The sequence below is a fragment of the Homo sapiens genome, chromosome 11, assembly GCF_000001405.40.
Source record: "Homo sapiens chromosome 11, GRCh38.p14 Primary Assembly".
Lineage (NCBI taxonomy): Eukaryota > Metazoa > Chordata > Mammalia > Primates > Hominidae > Homo > Homo sapiens.
The window spans coordinates 61,239,674-61,258,285 of NC_000011.10; the positions used below are offsets into that span (position 1 = coordinate 61,239,674).

The window sequence follows — 18,612 nt, forward strand, 5'->3', positions numbered from 1 at the left end:
ACAATCCTTTAGCTAGACACGAAAGTTCTCCAAGTCCCTAATCGACTCAGAAGCCCAGACGGCTTCACCTCTTACAACCTCTGCCTCCTGGGTTCAAGTGATTCTCCTGCCTCAGCCTACCCAGTAGCTGGGATTACAGGCGCCCACCACCATGCCCAGCTAACTTTTCTACTTTTAGTAGAGACGGGGTTTCACTATGTTGGCCAGGCTGGTCTTGAACTCCTAACCTCAGGTGATTCACCTGTCTTAGCCTCCCAAAGTACTGGGATTACAAGCGTGAGCCACGGCGCCCGGCCAAGCATCCTCTTTCTAAGTCACTCACCCATGAGTATGAATTGTTTGCCCAGATTGCTTCGCTCCATTGTAGCTGATTTCAACCCAGTTGTAAGCCTGGAGCACCTGGAGAAATCAGACCCAGGTGGGATCTCAAAGGTGGAGAGGGTGGGAAAGGAGCAAAAGAAAGAGAAGCGGTGCAGAAAGGGAGGGACACAGATTCCAAAGACATACCTGGCCTGTCTGAAGTTTGCCTCCTCCAGGAAGGGAAGGCAGCATTCTCCCGGTGCTCTCTCCCTCCTCCCCCGTGTACTGTGCACATCTCCTTCCCAGACTCAGCCCAGTTGCACCAAAAGCAAGCCACAAGGCCCATAGGCTAGTCAGATGCCCAACAACCCCACACAATGACACTTATGTGGGGAATTGTGTCCTGAGTCCCAAACGACTGACCCCCCCAATGTGCTGTGAATAAGCAGTGACCACAACCAGTACCACCTATGACTGAGTCGGGAGGCTGCTCTCTAAGAACCCCAGCTGCGTGACCACGGGGACAAATCAGGCCACCTGGGGCTCCTTCACATCTGTCCATTGCTGTGTTAAAAGTACTTTTAAACAACTTTGTCGAAATGCTCAGCTTGTAAAGTTTTAATGTAGGCCCTTGTCAATGCTTCAGAAATAAGCCTCTGGCGGCGCGACAGAGCAAAACTCCCTCAGGAAAGAAAGGAAAGAAATGGAGAAAGGGAGAAAGGGAGAAAGAGAGGAAAAGAAAGAAAGAAAGAAAGAAAGAGAGAGAGAGAGAGAAAGAGAGAAAGAGAAAGAAAGAAAAGAAAGAAAGAAAAAGAAAGAAAGGGAAAGAAAGAAGGAAAGGAAGGAAAGAAAAGAAAGGAAAGAAAGGAAAAGAAAACAAATAAGCCTCCAGGTCATTGCTTAGAAAGAAAAAGAAAAAAGAAAGAAAGAAAAGAAAGAAAAAGAAAAGAAAAGAAAATAGCCTCCCGGTCATTGCTCCTCTCTCTCTCTGCGGGTCCACCCCCATGGCACCCTCCCCCCTCCCCATGGTGCAAGGTTACAATGGAAAGTGCCTCAGCTGGAAAGGTCTCAGAATGTGGCTCAGGGCAGCCACAATCTTATCAGGAGCTTCTCTGTTTGGGATCAGGGGAACCGGTGACTTTCAGAGGCCGATAAGGCGGGACCCAACTTGTATATAAGGGGCAGCTCATGCTGCTGCTCTGCACCTTCCTCCCATCTTGCCTTCTCCCTCGAGTTGGGACCCGGGAAGAACCATGAAGTGGCTGCTGCTGCTGGGTCTGGTGGCGCTCTCTGAGTGCATCATGTACAAGTGAGTCCGGGTGGTGTGGGTGTGAAGACGCTGCCTCCCACATCACCTTTCTTTCCTCCCGTGTCTTCCTTCTTCCCTTTTTTTTCTCTCTCTCTTCAGCTGTCTCCATCCCCCTTTTCCGCCTCTCTCTCTGCCTTTTTGGGAGGCAGCCCTGCAGACATGGTTAAAACTCGGGCCCAGCCTGACTGTGGTTCCCAGCTCCAGCCCTAGTCAGCTTAACTTCTTTGCATTATGGGGCAGAAGTGGGAGCTTCTCCCTTCCTTCCATCTTCCTCTCTTAGATCAGCTGGTTAAGAGTCCAGCCTGGGTTTGGCTCCCAGCTCCAGCACTAGTCAACTTAACTTCTTTGCATTGTTGGGCAGAAGAGGGGGCGTCTCCTTTCCTTCCTTCTTCCTCTCTTAGACCAGCTTCCCTTCCCTTCTGGGGCTGCCACAGCACCCGGTCAGCAGAATCCTTGCCTAATTCCTCTTCCTTCTCCAAACCACAGGGTCCCCCTCATCAGAAAGAAGTCCTTGAGGCGCACCCTGTCCGAGCGTGGCCTGCTGAAGGACTTCCTGAAGAAGCACAACCTCAACCCAGCCAGAAAGTACTTCCCCCAGTGGGAGGCTCCCACCCTGGTAGATGAACAGCCCCTGGAGAACTACCTGGATGTGAGTGTGCGGGCAAGTGGTGGGGCCAGCTCTGAGGACTTGGCCCGCAGGAAAGAGGGTGTCCCAGGGGTCTTGGAGGACGGGCCTGGGCTCTGTGGCTCCAGGCAGTGACCCAGAGTCTGCCCCCTAGATGTCAGTGGCCCAGGGCAGGCAGGAAAGCTCACAGTCAGAGTTCATTCATTCATTCGTTCACTCGTTCATGCAATGTTAATTTCTCTGAGCGCCTCATTCTATTTCAGGGCCTGTGCTGGGCTCAGGGGGAGACAGCAGTGAGCAAACTCATAGCCTAGGAGACAAACACAGTCATCAAGGGGTCTCGCAAACCAATGAAAAGAACAGGCAGCAGGAGGACTACAGAGTGACGGTGTCACACTGCGAGAGTCTGCCACTTGGGCAGGGAGCCTCCCTGGAGCCACGCAGGAAGAGCAGGAGTTTCCAAGAGAACAAGACAGAACTCCGCATAGCCTGATCCCTTGTGCCAAACCCTGTAGCAGGCGGGAGCACAGTGCCTTTGAAGGGGAGCCGAGAGGGAGGGAAGAAGGGTGCTGCAGACTGCGGTCCGAGGAACTGAGGGGTGGACGCAGAGAGGCTCCATCCTAACTGCCTCTGATTTATCTTAAACAGGGGGATGACAAGATCAGATCTGAGTTTCAGAAAGATCACCCTGACTTTGTTATTTGAGACCCGATAGCAAACACCCTGCCCTCCTGCAGATATTGTATGTCCCCTCTGTGACTGGCACAGGGCACAAAGCAGTGATGCCTGTGGTTCAGAGACTGGCCTCTGCCATCCAGCAGACCTGGTGCAAATATGGGTCCTAGTGCCTCTAAGCCACAGGACCTTGGCCAAGTCATTTAAATACTCTGAGCCTGTGTCTTGGTCTGGAAAACAGAACCACTAATATCTACCGTCAGAGGATGTTGCCAGGAATTAACACGATCATGTTTTCTGGAGTGCTTAGCATGGGGTCTGCCAGGCCCTTGGTAAGAGGCTTAATTAGCGCATTTATTTAGTTCACAAATATTTAACAAATATTGGCACCTCTCTATGTGCCAGAGGCTATGCAAGTTGCCAAAATGATGGTGAATAATCAAAGTTCCTGGAGCTTATACTCTAAAGGGGATAACAAATAAACAACCATGTAAGATAATTTCAGGTAATGATAAGGGCCTTGGCAAATTAATTAATGGGAGCATGGGGAACAAGAAGATTGAGAGGGGGCAAATTTAGATAAAGTGGTCACGGAAGGCCTGTTGGCAGAGGGGACATTTGACTAGAGAGCTGAATGATTGATTTTTGATAAAAGGATCAGCCAAGGAAAGATCTAGAATAAACATTTTCCTAGCACAAGGAATAGCCAGTGCAAAGGCCCTAGGGCAGGAGTGACTGGTCATCGCCAAAGAACAGCAAGCAGACCAGTGTGGCGGGAACAGAGCCGGCAGGGGGAAAATGCTGCCACTAACAAGAAAAATACTGGTTGATTGGCGGAGGCGGGTGGATCACTTGAGGTCAGGAGTTCGAGACCAGCCCGGCAACATGGTGAAACCCCGTCTCTACTAAAAATACAAAAATTTGCCGGGCATGATGGCACACACCTGTAATCTCAGCTACTTGGGAGGTTGAGGCAGGAGAATCACTGGAACCCAGGAGGAGGAGGCTGCAGTGAGCCGAGGTCGCGCCACTGCACTCCCGCCTGGACAACAGAGTGAGACTTGTCTCAAAAAAAAAGAATAAAAATACTGTCAATGCCCTTTCTTGCAACCTGCTATACACATCTAGATGTAGAAATAAGAAAACTGGACAGGTTTCCATCTTTAAGTGGCTTGCTTAGCTTCTGATAAACAATTTAAGGCACAAGCACTTAAGCTGTAACTTGCCCGGTGCTAGAAGGTTCCACCGCCATCCTCTGAGAACATGCGCTGTACGGATGGGAAGACTGTGACAGACAAGACAATGGCTAAAGAGGGAACAGCAGATTGTTAGGTGCTTGTGGTGCTTAACAGAGAGCAGAGGGTAAATTGGGGGAGCAATCAGGGAAGACTTCAAGGAGGAAGGGACGCCAGGGCTGGGATTTGAAGGATGAAGACAGTGGCTGGGAAGAGAAAGATAAGAACTGTGAGGAATGAAGGAAAAGATGGAGAGGCAGACTGAGGAGATGACCCAGAGACAGCCCCTAGGGAGGCCCTGACAGAGAGACCCCGTTCCGTGAACTGCCCTGTCCTCGCCTGGACAGATGGAGTACTTCGGCACTATCGGCATCGGAACTCCTGCCCAGGATTTCACCGTCGTCTTTGACACCGGCTCCTCCAACCTGTGGGTGCCCTCAGTCTACTGCTCCAGTCTTGCCTGCAGTAAGTGCCCAGACCGCCCTACCCCACTCTCACTCCCCAGCACCAGCCGACCCTGGGGAACCCTGGACACCCACGGGCTTCAAACAGTTCCCACCTCAAGCCTGCTGGAGCCACTCAACAGGCATTTATTGAGCACCTACTACGTGCCAAGCACTGGGCTCAGGTGCTCCAGGGGGTAAAGGGATGAGTGATATGATCCCTGCGGTCAAAGACTACACAGTCTGAGGGCAGAGAGAAGCTCTCCTCAATAACCACAGGCTGGGAGAGGAAGTATGGGGGGCCCAAAGCAAGACAGGGCCAAAGGGCTGTAGAATAGCCCACCAGGAAAGAGTCCAGTGTGAGAAAATGGCTTCAAAGCCTGGCTAGGACAGGCTAGAGGTCAGTGCTGAGCTCATTTAAAAAAAAAAAAAGAATCATTGGTTTGCTAATGAAAGAGAGTTTGTCTTTGGAAGTCATGAACAATGTGTGTTGCAGGTTCCTTCCTCTTCTAGTGTTTTCACTGGAGTTTTAATGAAGATGAGGTGCCTGTGGCATCATCCACATCATAACGGGAGCACTGGCTGGGGGCTAGAGGGTGAAAGCGCTCGTCACTGGGTAGCCACGGGCCTGCTCCGCTCTATGTTGGTCTGGGGAGGTCTCCAGGAGGCCCTTGGGGTTGGCTGGGGAAACTGCCACCAGTGAATGGTCCCAGTAGTTCAACGAGACAGGACAGAACCTGGGGTCTCTTGGGCTCCAAGGGTCTAGGGCGAAAGGTCGCTGCTCACCTCCAGAGCCCGTCCCAGGGCCAGGGCACCCCATCCCAGGAAGACATCCAGCCCATGACCTTCACCCAGCTCTCAGAGAATAACACTCACCGCTTGTCCTTGCAGCCAACCACAACCGCTTCAACCCTGAGGATTCTTCCACCTACCAGTCCACCAGCGAGACAGTCTCCATCACCTACGGCACCGGCAGCATGACAGGCATCCTCGGATACGACACTGTCCAGGTGGGCACCTGCAGGCTGCCGCTGCATCCCCCCATCAGGCACCCCCAAAATAAGCTTATTCCAGCAAGATGAGTCTTGGTGATCACAGAAGTAACCTGATTGGGGGTGCGGGGTGGGGGAGAAGCAGCAGAGATGTCACAGACATTGCTAGCTCGGGTGGCAGTGAGTAAAAGGGTGGGGTGCCAGGAGCCATAACCCAGACTCAGCTCCACCCAAGCAGAATGTTATGGAGTGTGGGGAGAGTCAGTAAAGGCTCACTTCTCTACTAGCACCTCCTCCTCTTCCTTCTTCTCCCGACATGCAGCACCCCAAGTCACGAAATCTCCACAAGCCCTCCCTGCCACTTTCGGGGCATGGCAGGGGTCAAAGGCCTGGGGTCTGGGGTCTGCTTTGCGTTTGTTCATCAGAAACACAAACACACAGTGACCATCTGTTCTCCAGCAAAATCTCACCCTGAGTCATAGACTGTAGCCATCTGGAGATCAGCTGCCATGGTTACCTCCAGCAGAGGAACCAGCATTCCAGCAGACAGTCCCTCTGCCCTCCTCCCGGGCTGATACCCTGGAAGCCAAGTCCTGCATGAGATGAACCAGGGTGGCTCTGGGCCTGAGGCTGGCATCCAGAGCTCAGTGAACATGACCCGATGGTGAACATCATCTCGGTTTCCCCACCCAGGTTGGAGGCATCTCTGACACCAATCAGATCTTCGGCCTGAGCGAGACGGAACCTGGCTCCTTCCTGTATTATGCTCCCTTCGATGGCATCCTGGGGCTGGCCTACCCCAGCATTTCCTCCTCCGGGGCCACACCCGTCTTTGACAACATCTGGAACCAGGGCCTGGTTTCTCAGGACCTCTTCTCTGTCTACCTCAGCGCGTAAGTTGAGTGGAGAGGGGCCTCCTCCCACCTCCCCCTCCAGAGGTCACAGTGTTCCTGCCCAGCAGGAGCTGTCCAAGGCTGGGTGCGATGGAGAGGGTCTTGGGAAGCAAGGGATTTGAAAGTCAATGTCTGAGGCTGGAGAAGTGTGTCTTTGGAGAGTAATAGTGCCAAGTCTGTCTCTGACGGGCCATGTGCACTCCATCTTATTTTACCAGCATCTTTGTCCCCTTGATGTGCACAACTCAAATGTCATCAGCCATTTGCCCCTTAGTGCCACTTCCCTCACCCTTGGCCCCCAAAGATACCATTTAAAGTGAATACAGTTAGCCAGGCATGGTGTCTCATGCCTGTAATCCCAGCACTTTGGGATTACAGCACTGAGGCGGGAGGATCACCTGAAGTCAGGAGTTCAAGACCAGCCTGGCCAACATGGCAAAACCCTGTCTCTACTAAAAAATACAAAAATTAGCCAGGTATGATGGCAGGCAACTGTACTCCCAGCTACTCAGGAGGCTGAGGCAGGGAGAATCGCTTGAGCCTGGGAGGCATAGGTTGCAGTGAACAAAGATTGTACCACTGCATCCTAGCCTGGGCAACAGAGCAAGACTCCATCTCAATAAATAAATAAATAAATAAATAAATAAATAAATAAAATAAAGTGACTATACTTAGACCAAAATTCCATAGCACAAAAATGAAAAGATTTGATCAAGATGTATCATGAATGATGACATTTTTCAATCATGAAAGCAAGTTTCTTTTATGATTTAATAAAATCTAGGTTCCATTTGTGACCGGGGGCTAATTCTAGGAATGAACAAAGAATAAATGAACAAACAAACAAATGAACAAAGAATAAACCAAATGTCAGTTTGGGCTGAGTAGAGTGTTATGCAAGAATACCTGAGGGCATCCTCCACTTTCTTAAGACATTCAGCTTTCCTCTAACACTCACCTACATCGTCCTCTCTTGAAAGGGTTCGCCGTCATTCATGTGTCTCCTCGGTTGGTAACTACACGTCTAGGTCCTCACTATATTGCCTTGCACTGTGAGATGTTCGCAGCAAAGGTGGGGTGGGTTCAGTGAGTGGGGTCATGTTTTAGAAATGGCCAGTTCTCGGATGATTAATTTCTTTTTTTTTTTTTTTGTGATGGGGTCTCGCTCTGTCGCCCAGGCTGGAGTGCAGTGGCGCTATCTCGCCTCACTGCAAGCTCTGCCTCCTGGGTTCATGCCATTGTCTACCTCAGCATCCCGAGTAGCTGGGACTACAGGCATGGGCCACCATGCCCAGCTAATTTTTTGTATTTTTAGTAGAGATGGGGTTTCACCCTGTTAGCCAGGATGGTCTCCATCTCCTGACCTCGTGATCCACCTGCCTTGGCCTCACAAAGTGCTGGGATTACAGGCATGAGCCACCACGCCCAGCCCCGGATAATTAATTTCTTATTGCCGTCTACATTTCCTTCCACATCTAACCTGAAACTGCAGAGATTTAGAAAATGAATATTGCAATAACAAGGACTCCTGCAATTTACAACAGGAAGGCTCTTTGTCATGTATTCTTCTTGGCCAGTTAATGTTCAAGGTGGCTCTGAAACATCATCTGCCTTTATGAGCACTTAAATATTTCATGTGGGGCCATTGTATCTCCCCAGCCAGATCCGAGTTTCTCAATCTGGGCACTGTTAACATTTCAGACCACCATAATTCCTTGCCGCCAAGGACTGTCCCGTGCATTGTAGGATGTTTGGCAGCATCCCCAGCCTCTACCCATGAGATGCCGGCAGCATCCCCTACCCCCACCCAATCATGACAATCCAAAATGTCTCCAGACATGCCCCTGGGGGCAAAACTGCTCCCAGCTAAGAACCAGTGACCTCCACCCTCAAGTCCTTAAGAGCGGACACTGTCATGCATTCACTTCCCTGGGGTCCCCATGGCAACCAGAGTGGGTACCACGGTGGAAACCACACATTCAAACTATAAGGCCTGTGTTCTTCCAAACGTAGTTCCACCACTCCCCCGCTGTGTGACCTTGGGCAGGTGGCCTCACCTCCCTCAGGCTCAGTGTCCTCATGGTAAGTGGAAACAACAGTGACGGTGCCCACTGCATGGGCCCTGGCCTAAGAGGAAAAGAAACCACATTGGTCACACCCCAGGACAGCCCTGGAAAGTGCCCAATCAACGGTCGCTCTGAGGAGGCAACAGCAGATGGTCACACAAATGGACGAACAAAAAAATTCATGTCTTCTCCCCTCACTTTCCACAGCGATGACAAGAGTGGCAGCGTGGTGATCTTTGGTGGCATTGACTCTTCTTACTACACTGGAAGTCTGAACTGGGTGCCTGTTACCGTCGAGGGTTACTGGCAGATCACCGTGGACAGGTGAGACTGCCATGAACGGGCAGCATCCAGGCCTGGGCCCCAGATCCCATTTCCTTATGGATTCATAGCCAATCAGCTTTCCAGAATCCCCCCAGGAACAGCTGGCACAGGGGAACACACTCCAGGGGGAAGGTGGAAGTTGGCCAAGCCAAAGAGACCCCTAGAAAGACACCTCCCTGCAGGAGGAGGGAAGAGCTGTCTGGGAAGCTGAGACTCTGCAAGGGTGAGATGGCCACTGTCCTCCTAGTCACGGAGGCAGGACCATCCACCAGCATCCCTGGGGAGAGCTGGGGGACCCACCTGTCCACGCATCTCACAATTTAAGGGGGCTGTGAACAAGCACACGCTCCTGCCACTCGAGGAAACATGTCACTTTCCGTCTAGAAGTGGGGCAAAATGGCTAAGAAATTGTGTGAAGTCACTTCATTCCACCCTCCCCTTCGGGGCCTCCCCTGTCTCCCTGGCAGCTTCATTTCTACGCTGTTCTTCCCCAGCTAGCCTGCTAGCGTGCTCAGTGGTGTGGGTTTTCCCAAGAATGAACAATTTCCCAGGACAGAGACTTTCAGTACTAAAACTGGGACCAGCCCAGGCAAACCAGGACACATGGATCACCTCATGTCTGCCCAGCCATGCTAGAATTTCACCAGTTCCTCCAACACCTGCCCCAGCCCTCTGGTCTCTGTACCTCCCCGCATACCATCCCCTGATGATGTCCTCCTTCTCTCTTCACCTGCCTGGCATTCCTGGGTGTCTGTTCCCCTGGCTGCTCCCCTCCACCACCTCTCACCCTGGGCCCTGTTTTTGTTCCCTGCCTCATGCCTGACTGATCATCTTGCCCTTCTGCCAACATAACTTATCTTGCCAGCTAGGCCGGGAGCTCCCTGCAGCCTGGAACTGTGAGGCTGTCTTGTTTCGCTTGGCGTTTCCCATGCCTGGCAGAGGGTAGGCACTTGGGAAATATTTGTAGGGTAAATGAATGCGGGATGAATGAGTGCGTGAACGAGAGGAACAGAAATTTCACGCATTGGCCAATGGATGGGTGGGGAAGGAATGTCTGGGCTCACCTCCTGGTTCCTCCTTGGAGAGATGAACCCCTGAGGGCTCAGGGAGCTTAACTTGCTTCTTACCCTCAGCATCACCATGAACGGAGAGACCATCGCCTGTGCTGAGGGCTGCCAGGCCATTGTTGACACCGGCACCTCTCTGCTGACCGGCCCAACCAGCCCCATTGCCAACATCCAGAGCGACATCGGAGCCAGCGAGAACTCAGATGGCGACGTGAGTCCAGCCCCGACTGCCCTGTTCTACACTCAAGTAGTGGGTGTGCCAGGCAGAAGCGACGAAAACCCTTCTAACTTTTCTCACCCTCACTCTTTCCAGATGGTGGTCAGCTGCTCAGCCATCAGCAGCCTGCCCGACATCGTCTTCACCATCAATGGAGTCCAGTACCCCGTGCCACCCAGTGCCTACATCCTGCAGGTGAGGAGGCTCTGGACCATCCACTAGAGAGGTTCACACAGAATGTGGACACAGAGTCCCCTTCTGCAGAGGGAAAGTACACTTCCACGAGCTGAAGCCAGCAGGCAGAGGCAGACGAACATCTGCCCTAGACAGCCTCCAGAGAAAAAGAATATATTAAAAACAAATGCAGGAATAAGAACTCGGATACAGCCCCCTAAGGGAACAAGTGAAGCAAAGGTTAATGGAGTGAAAAGAGGATTCTATTTGGACCCCTGCGTCCAAGTCCTGGGTCTGAATTACTAGCCCATTGATTCTGAACAAGCTACAGCTCATCTCACCCTCAGTTTTCGCATCCAAAAGGTAGAGATGGCAGCTTTCCCCACCCTCAGAGTGCGGTTAGGTCAACCAAGTGAGACTGATCACATCAGAGCTACCAAGGGTTGGGCAAATGGAAATCCTAATTTCCATAGGCTGGGGCTTCCAACACTTCTACCATCTCTACCAAGTAGCAAATCTTTAGCTATACGAGCCACAAGAAAACTCTTTCCCTTCTGTTATTATAACGTCAGGTGGAAAACTAATTTTGCCAGTGGACTCAAGTTATTCAACAAGAAGCACTGATGCCTGGGCTCCCCCACTGATTCTGATTACATTAGGAGAGGGCAAGGCCTGAGCAATGGGATGGGGCTGCGGGGGTTCAAAGCTCCCCAGGTGATGTGCAGACAAGGTCGCAGCCCAGTGACTTAGTGAGGCAAGAGGGCTAATAGCTCATCTGGTTTGTCCCTGATGAGATAAGAATAATAATGAGAAAAGGATGTAGTGGCAGGGTTTTTAAACTCCTTCCTAGCAGCTGAATTCTACCTAAGCCCCTTAGCACCGATGCTGATGTCAGGGTTCGTGTGCCTGCCAGAAACACCAGATAATGTCCAGTAATGCGTAGAAACCAGTCGTGCATTGGATGGCTTCTACAGGCTGACTCCAGGCCAAGAACAGCCGAATCCCTGGACACTGAGCCAGGAAGCTCCTCCTTGCACGTGCCTTACAGCTGGACCAGGGCTCCCTGGATGTTTATCACCCAGCGCCTATCACGGCTGAATCGGTGTCCCAGCTCCACTTTTATTCTCCTTTTCTCCAGAGCGAGGGGAGCTGCATCAGTGGCTTCCAGGGCATGAACGTCCCCACCGAATCTGGAGAGCTTTGGATCCTGGGTGATGTCTTCATCCGCCAGTACTTTACCGTCTTCGACAGGGCAAACAACCAGGTCGGCCTGGCCCCTGTGGCTTAAGCCTAAGTCTCTTCAGCCACCTCCCAGGAAGATCTGGCCTCCGTCCTATGCCCACTTTAGATGTATCTAATTCTCCTGACTGTTCTTCCCAGGGGAGTGTGAAGGTCTTGGCCCTGTTCCCTGTCCTACCAATAACGTAGAATAAAAACATAACCCACTGAAACAGGTTTTGTGGAGCTGCTTCTCTTTGCTGGTCTTTTTCCTTCACATTACTGGGGTTAGAACGCCAGGGCAGGGATGAAAATGACCACATCCACTTGGATGGCACCCAACATAGTGACCCCAGCAGCTGACACTTCATGATGGAGCCAGGAAGACAGAGAGGCTTCAGGGGGTTGTGCTGGAAGCATCATAAAAAGACCTGGGGGCCAAAATACTGAGCTAATTGTCTTCTCATAGAAGGGACACAGAGCTGAGATCCTGCCATTGTACTCTATCCTGGGCGACACAGAGAGACTCCAGCTCAAAGAAAAAAAAAATAGGGCACTGAAGCTCTTAGTTGAGGGAGTCAACTTCTTCTTTCTCCCAAAGCCAATAAGAGATCATGAGAAGGCTGGGCACAGTGGCTCACACCTGTAATCCCAGCACTTTGGGAGGCTGAGGCGGACAGGTCACCTGAGGTCAGGAGTTTGAGACAAGCCTGGCCAACACAGTGAAACCCTGTCTCCACTAAAAATGTAAAAATTAGCTGGACATGGTGGTGTGTGCCTGTAATCCCAGCTACTCGGGAGGCTGAGGCAGGAGAAGCGCTTGAATCTGGAAGGCAGAGGTTGCAGTGAGCTGAGATCGCACCATTGCACTCCAGCCTGGGCGACAGAGCGAGACTCCATCTCAAAAAAAAAAAAAAAAAAAGAGCTCATGAGGAAAGGAAAGCAATCAGGAGAGTCAGGAAAGGCGGACACTAATGGTGATGTCCCTAAGTAGATAGGACAGGGCAGTGTTGTCTGCAAGACATGGACAAGAGAAGTGGAAGAAGCTGACACCCCACAATCTTATAGGATGCCCTTGTGATTCGCTGGCTACCAAGACTAACAGTTAATCTCCCCCAAGTCCCAGGCATAAGACACTGAATCCATCTGTTTCCCCATCTGTAACCAAAGAGAAAGGTCTTCCACTTCCCTGAGCAGAGGTTGTGAGACAGAGAATTAAGCATGTTCATTAGCATATATGCCCTAGAAAGGCAAAGAGGAAATGGAGCAGTTTCTCAGACTGGGCTTGGTAGCAAAATGTTCAATGGAAAACACAGTTTCAGAATAAGTATAGAACATGCTACATTCTAGGCCCTTCCCCAGGGTTCACCAGCTACAGTTCCCAATCAAAAGCTCTGACAAGTCCTGCTGCAAAGTGATCTGTTTCTTTTTTACTCAGCTGAGCTTCATCTCAGACTCTCTCTTGCTAGTAAGTCTATTACAGCCCTGGGCTCCCCGGCATGCATGCTGGGAAAATTCCCATAGCTCCTGCTTCTGGTGACAGCCGACCTAGGCTGTCTGCTGAAGACACAAACCCAGAGGCTGGAGCTGGGCTCTAGGAAGGGCGGGGGTGAGCTCCAACACCCAGTCTCCCCAGGGTCACTCTCACCCTCCCAAGCCCATTTTCCATAGCTGAATAAACTTTAGGAAACATAAATTTCATCTCATCCCTTCCTTGCTTTAAACTCTTAATGCCTTCTTGCCATTGCCGTTGGAATAAAACAGCAAATCTTTGGCATAGTTCCAGGTCCTGTGTGCTCCTTTCCCTCCAAACCTTCCCTGCTTCACTCTGATCCCGTTACCCTGAGCTCCGTCCACCCTGGCCTCCCACGGCCACAAAAGCCCATGTGTTCTTCCCACCTCCAGACTTTGCACATGCTGTTCCCTTTGCCTGGGTTGCTTTTCCCTCTTTCTTGACTAGCTAACACCTAGCATCTGCAGACGTGGCTTAAATGTCACTTCCCAGCCGTGTGTGGTGGCTTATGCCTGCAATCCCAGCACTTTGGGAGGCCAAGGCAGGCAGATCAGCTGAGGTTAGGAGTTTGAGACCAGCCAGGCCAACATGGTGAAACCCCATCTCTACTAAAAATACAAAATTGGCCGGGTGTGGTGACCCATGTCTGTAATCCCAGCTACTTGGGAGGCTGAGGCAGGAGAATTGCTTGAACCTGGAAGGTGGAGGTTGCAGTGAGCCAAGATCACACCACTGCCCTCCAGCCTGGGCAACAAGAGTGAAACTCCGTCTGAAAGAAAAAAAAGCATATGGCTCAGTAACTTCCCTTCTGAAAATTTACCTTAAAGATACACTAGTAGATGTGCAAAGCGATGTAAGGACATGATTTTTTGTAGCATCATGTGGAAAAGCAAGATTTGAAATGACCCAAAAGTGCATCCACAGGAGTTGGTTCAACAACTTATGGTGCATCCACACAATATACAGCTGTAAAAGGAAGAAGCAAATGTGCTCACTGGGTGCTAAGATGGAAAGACCTTTTTTTTTTTAAGACGGAGTCTTGCTCTGTCTCCCAGGCTGGAGTGCAGTGGCATGATCTCAGCTCACTGCAATTTCGGCCTCCCGGGTTCAAGCAATTCTCCCGCCTCAGCCTCCTGAATAGCTGGGATTACAGGCACCTGCCACCACACCAGCTAATTTTTGTATTTTTAGTAGAGACGGGATTTCACCATGTTGGCCAGGCTGGTCTGGAACTCCTGACCTCATGATCCACCCACCTCGGCCTCCCAAAGTGCTGAGATTACAGATGTGAGCCACCACTCCCAGCCTCGGAAAGATCTTAAAAAGAGGGTAAGTTAAAAAAAAAAAAAAGTGAATTACAGCGATTTTGAGCCTCTGTAAGTTTGTCCTACTTAGAAACCTACCGTGACTTGCCTTCAGGCCATGCATCTAATAACCTTTAAAATCAGGTCTCTTGAAACAGGTCTGATCATTCTGCCCTTTGAGAAGCTGCCAGGTGCAAGGGAAACTGAGGCCACAGAATAAGCTTCCGACACACCCCCATTCTGTTCTGTTTCTCAGAACCCTAAAAGTGGAATCCTAGCTCAGGAAAAATGCAAGGTGTCTCCATCCAAGAACAAACACTCCCTTGCTTGTTGGAGCACAGGCTCCCGAGAATTCAGAGCAGCTTATCCCATTAAAGGCACTGCGCGCCCCGCTGGGGGCTTCAGGTGGACTCCTGCCTCCTGGTGCACTGCGGTTTACCGTGCACAGAACATGTGCTTACATGGCCCAGTGAGAGCCCTGACCCAGCCCTCCACCCATGGCTCCTGCACCTCTGCCCCAAGAGCCTTCTGGTGCCTGGGGACAAGCAGAAAGGCAGGCTCAGTACTATGGCAAGGCCAGCAGGGTGTGCTAGAGAGCCAAAAGCCCAGGACAAGGCTCGACCAGTGAGGGACGAAAGTTGAGGGACAACTACTGGTGCATCTTCACACCCTTGGGGGACAATCCTCAGGCAAGGCATGGGCTCCACAGTCTTCCAGAAGGTCCCTAGGACAAAGTGCCAATTGCCCATAGCTGCAACCGGCTCATCAATGCCCCTTGATTGGTCTTTTTCTCTTGGCTCTCACCCGAATACTATCTCTGGGTCTGCTTTAGGGGGAACCCAAACTAAAATAGTGTTCACAGGGCCCCTCCTAAACTGTGGGCCATCAGCTGTCTCTCCAAACACCAACAGGAGAACCTCATCAGGTGAAATGTGAAGCGAAGGAAAAACACCTGGACTGGGAGTCAGACGAATGAGGCTGTCTTCCCATTCAGCCGTCATAATCTGTGCAGCCTTAGAACACTCTCCTAACTTCTCTGAGCCTCTGCTTCTCAGCTGTAATATTGGGTGGGGAACAGTCCAGTTAAACATGTTTTTATACTCGGAAAAACTTGGGAAAAGTGTTTACAGCTGTCCCCCTGCCCCACCCCCAACCAATCTTTTTTTTTTTTTGAGATGGAGTCTCGCTCTGTCACCCAGGCTCTGAGTGCAGTGGTGCGATCTTGGTTCACTGCAACCTCTGCTTCCCAGGTTCAAGCGATTCTCCTGCCTCAGCCTCCTGAGTAGCTGGGACTATCGGCACATACCATCACGCTTGGCTAATTTTTGTATTTTTAGTAAAGATGGGGTTTCACCATATTGGTCATGCTGGTCTTGAATTCCTGACCTCGTGATCCGCCCACCTCAGCTTTCCAAAATGCTGGGATTACAGGCATGAGCCACCACACCCGGACTCCTTTTTTTTAAACATTCAAAATGAACATCATTGACATGAGTCCTATTTGCAGAGGCAGGTGGGGGGGACTAGTATTAAACTTAAATTGCATGCTAACTTATTGCATAAAGGAACAGCAATGAGGAAATTGGCACTAATTTTTAGCCACTACCATTTTGACAGATGGACTTGTTTGAAAAGTTGCAGCATGGGGGCAATGAGAATTCTACGCTTTTATCCTGAAATCAGACCCCACGTGGCATCACCAAGCCGGGTGGGCTGTAGCAAGTTTAGGGGCCACAGGGCCACAAGTGCAAACCACTGAGACTTATGGAGGCATTATCACACGTCATTGTCACAACTCCATAAAGTAGGCCTGTTATTATCCCCATTGTCCAAATAAGGGAGCAGAGGCCTGGCGCGGTGGTTCATGCTTGTAATCCCAGCACTTTGGGAGGCCGAGGCAGGCAGATCACCTGAGGTCAGTTTGAGACCAGCCTGGCCAACGTGGCGAAACCCCATCTCTACAAAAAATACAAAAACTAGCTGGGCATGGTGGCGTGTGCCTGTAATCCCAGCTACTCGGGAGGCTGAGGCAGGAGAATCGCTTGAACCTGGGAGGTGGAGGTTGCAGTGAGCCGAGATCATGTCACTGCACTCCAGGCTGGGTGACAAAGCAAGACTCTGTCTCAAAAAATAATAATAATAAGGGAGCAGAGACCTAATATCCCACAGCTAGTCCAGCTGAGCAAGGCTCCAACTTGAGATTCATTGGCTGCAGACCCCGCTCATGACCATGACCCTTTGTATCTTACTGGACAAAACGGCCTCTAAGTCCTTTGCCTCTCTAAACTGTTTGGTTTCCATGCTCCTATCTCCCACATTTATTATTCCTGCCACCAGCCGCAGGTTAGAGGCCAGGACTACACTGTCGTCTGGACTGGATACCAGGTTGCCTTTGCAGCCAGGAAACACTTCAGCAGACCCTTCGCCCTGGGACACAGAGTGAGTAGCAGGTCAGAGAAGGGCTCAGAAGAGGGCGGCCTCGGCAAAGCGATGGGCCATGCCCGGGGGTGCTTTCACTCCGCAGCCTCCATGGGTTTCAGTGGTAGCAAGTGTGGGGCTGCAGGCCCGTAATCCCAGTACTCAGGGAGGCTGAAGTGGGAGGATCGCTTGAGCCTAGGAGTTCAAGACCAGTCTGGGCAACACAGCGAGACCCTATTTCTACAAAATTTTTTTAAAAGTTAGACAGGCGTGGTGGCATGTGCCTCTAATCCCACCCACCCGGGAAGCTGGGGTGGGAGGAAGGCTTGAGCCCATGAGGTTGAGGCTGCAATGAGCCGTGATCATGCCACTACACTCCAGCCTGGATGACAGGGCAACATCCTGTCTCAAAAAAAAAAAAATGGTAGCAAGTGGTGACTTGGTGACAGAGCAGCTTCTGCTTTCCAGCCCCACATCACTTCCCTTATCACAAATCCGCATCCCCCCATTCATGACGGCACTGTCCTCTTTCCGTCTCTCATGCACACTGTGCTACACTGCCCAGATCCCCCCACTAGGACTGAAGGATCAGTCTCCCAGCTGCTGGGAAGGTGGTTGATAGCAGCTCTCTGGTCAATATGAGGCAGAAAGCCCTGCCCCGTAGCTCCAGCTCAGGACAGCTCCGAAGGGCCAGCCTAACCCCAGAGCTCCCAGAGGGGGCTGGCTGAGGCTTCGAGAAGGCCCAGCAGCCCCAACTCTCCCTCCCTGCTCCTTCCCCGCTGCCCACAGGTGTTCCTGCTGAAAACACGTCTTAAGAAACTGCTGGCCCGGCCCGGCGCGGTGGCTCAGGCCTGTCATCCCAGCACTCTGGGAGCCCAAGGTGGGCAGATCACCTGAGGTCAGGAGTTCGAGACCAGCCTAGCCAACATGGTGAAACCCCAACTCTACTAAAAATACAAAAAATTAGTCAGGTGTGGTGGCGGGCACCTGTAATCCCAGATACTCAGGAGGCTGAGGCAGGAGAGCCGCTTGAACCCAGGAGGCAGAGGTTGCAGTGAGCCAAGACCTTGCCATTGCACTCTAGCCTGGGCAACAAGAGCGAAACTCCATCTCAAAAAAGAAACTGCTGGTCTGTCATTTCGTCTCAGAGGTTCCTTCCCAGAAGCAAGTCCTCTCCATCATCTTTTCCCTTCTCACTGTGGAAGCCCCCCAGTGTCTGTATGGTATTCCATGGTGTACATACTATGCAGCCATAAAAAAGAATGAGATAATGTCCTTTGCAGGAACATGAATGGAGCTGGAGGCCATCATCCTTAGCAAAGTTACGCAGGAAGAGAAAACCAAATACCGCATGTTCTCATTTGTAAGTGGGAGCTAAATGATGAGAACACATGGACACATAGACACGAAAAGCACACACTGGGGTCTATGGAAGGGTGGAGGGAGGGTAGAGGGAGAGACTTAGGAAAAATAACTAATGGGTACTAAGCTTAATCCCTGGGTGATGAAATAATATAATCTGTATGACAAACCCCTGTGACACGAGTTTAACTATATAATAAACCTGCACATGTACCCCTGAACTTAAAATAAAAGTGAAAAAAAGAAAAAAGAAAACAGAAAAGAAAATCATGATCTTGGGGAAAAAAATAAAAAGAAGTCTCCCAATATAAAAGGCCGCCAAGTGCTTACAGGAGACCCTTCCCCAGCCCAGTCACAATTTGGTGCCAGCTTTTCTCCCCAGCAGTGGGGTAAAGGTGGATGCTCACTTACCACCTGTGGGCTTGGGGTCACGTTTCCCACCTTCCCACAGGTAAGCGGTGAATGAGCAGTGCAGCA

The 18,612-nt window shown here is 51.1% G+C and overlaps 1 protein-coding gene across 1 annotated transcript; it reads left to right on the forward strand.

The window, feature by feature from the left end:
• Nucleotides 1–1,501: 1,501 nt before the first annotated feature.
• Nucleotides 1,502–11,771, forward strand: PGA5 (pepsinogen A5). Its single transcript, NM_014224.5, has 9 exons — nt 1,502–1,609; nt 2,096–2,258; nt 4,492–4,609; nt 5,479–5,597; nt 6,273–6,472; nt 8,746–8,862; nt 9,996–10,140; nt 10,243–10,341; nt 11,459–11,771. Exons 1-9 carry the CDS (start codon nt 1,554–1,556, stop codon nt 11,606–11,608), a joined length of 1,167 nt encoding a protein of 388 aa, NP_055039.1. The 5' UTR covers nt 1,502–1,553; the 3' UTR covers nt 11,609–11,771.
• The last annotated feature ends 6,841 nt before the right edge of the window (nt 11,772–18,612 follow it).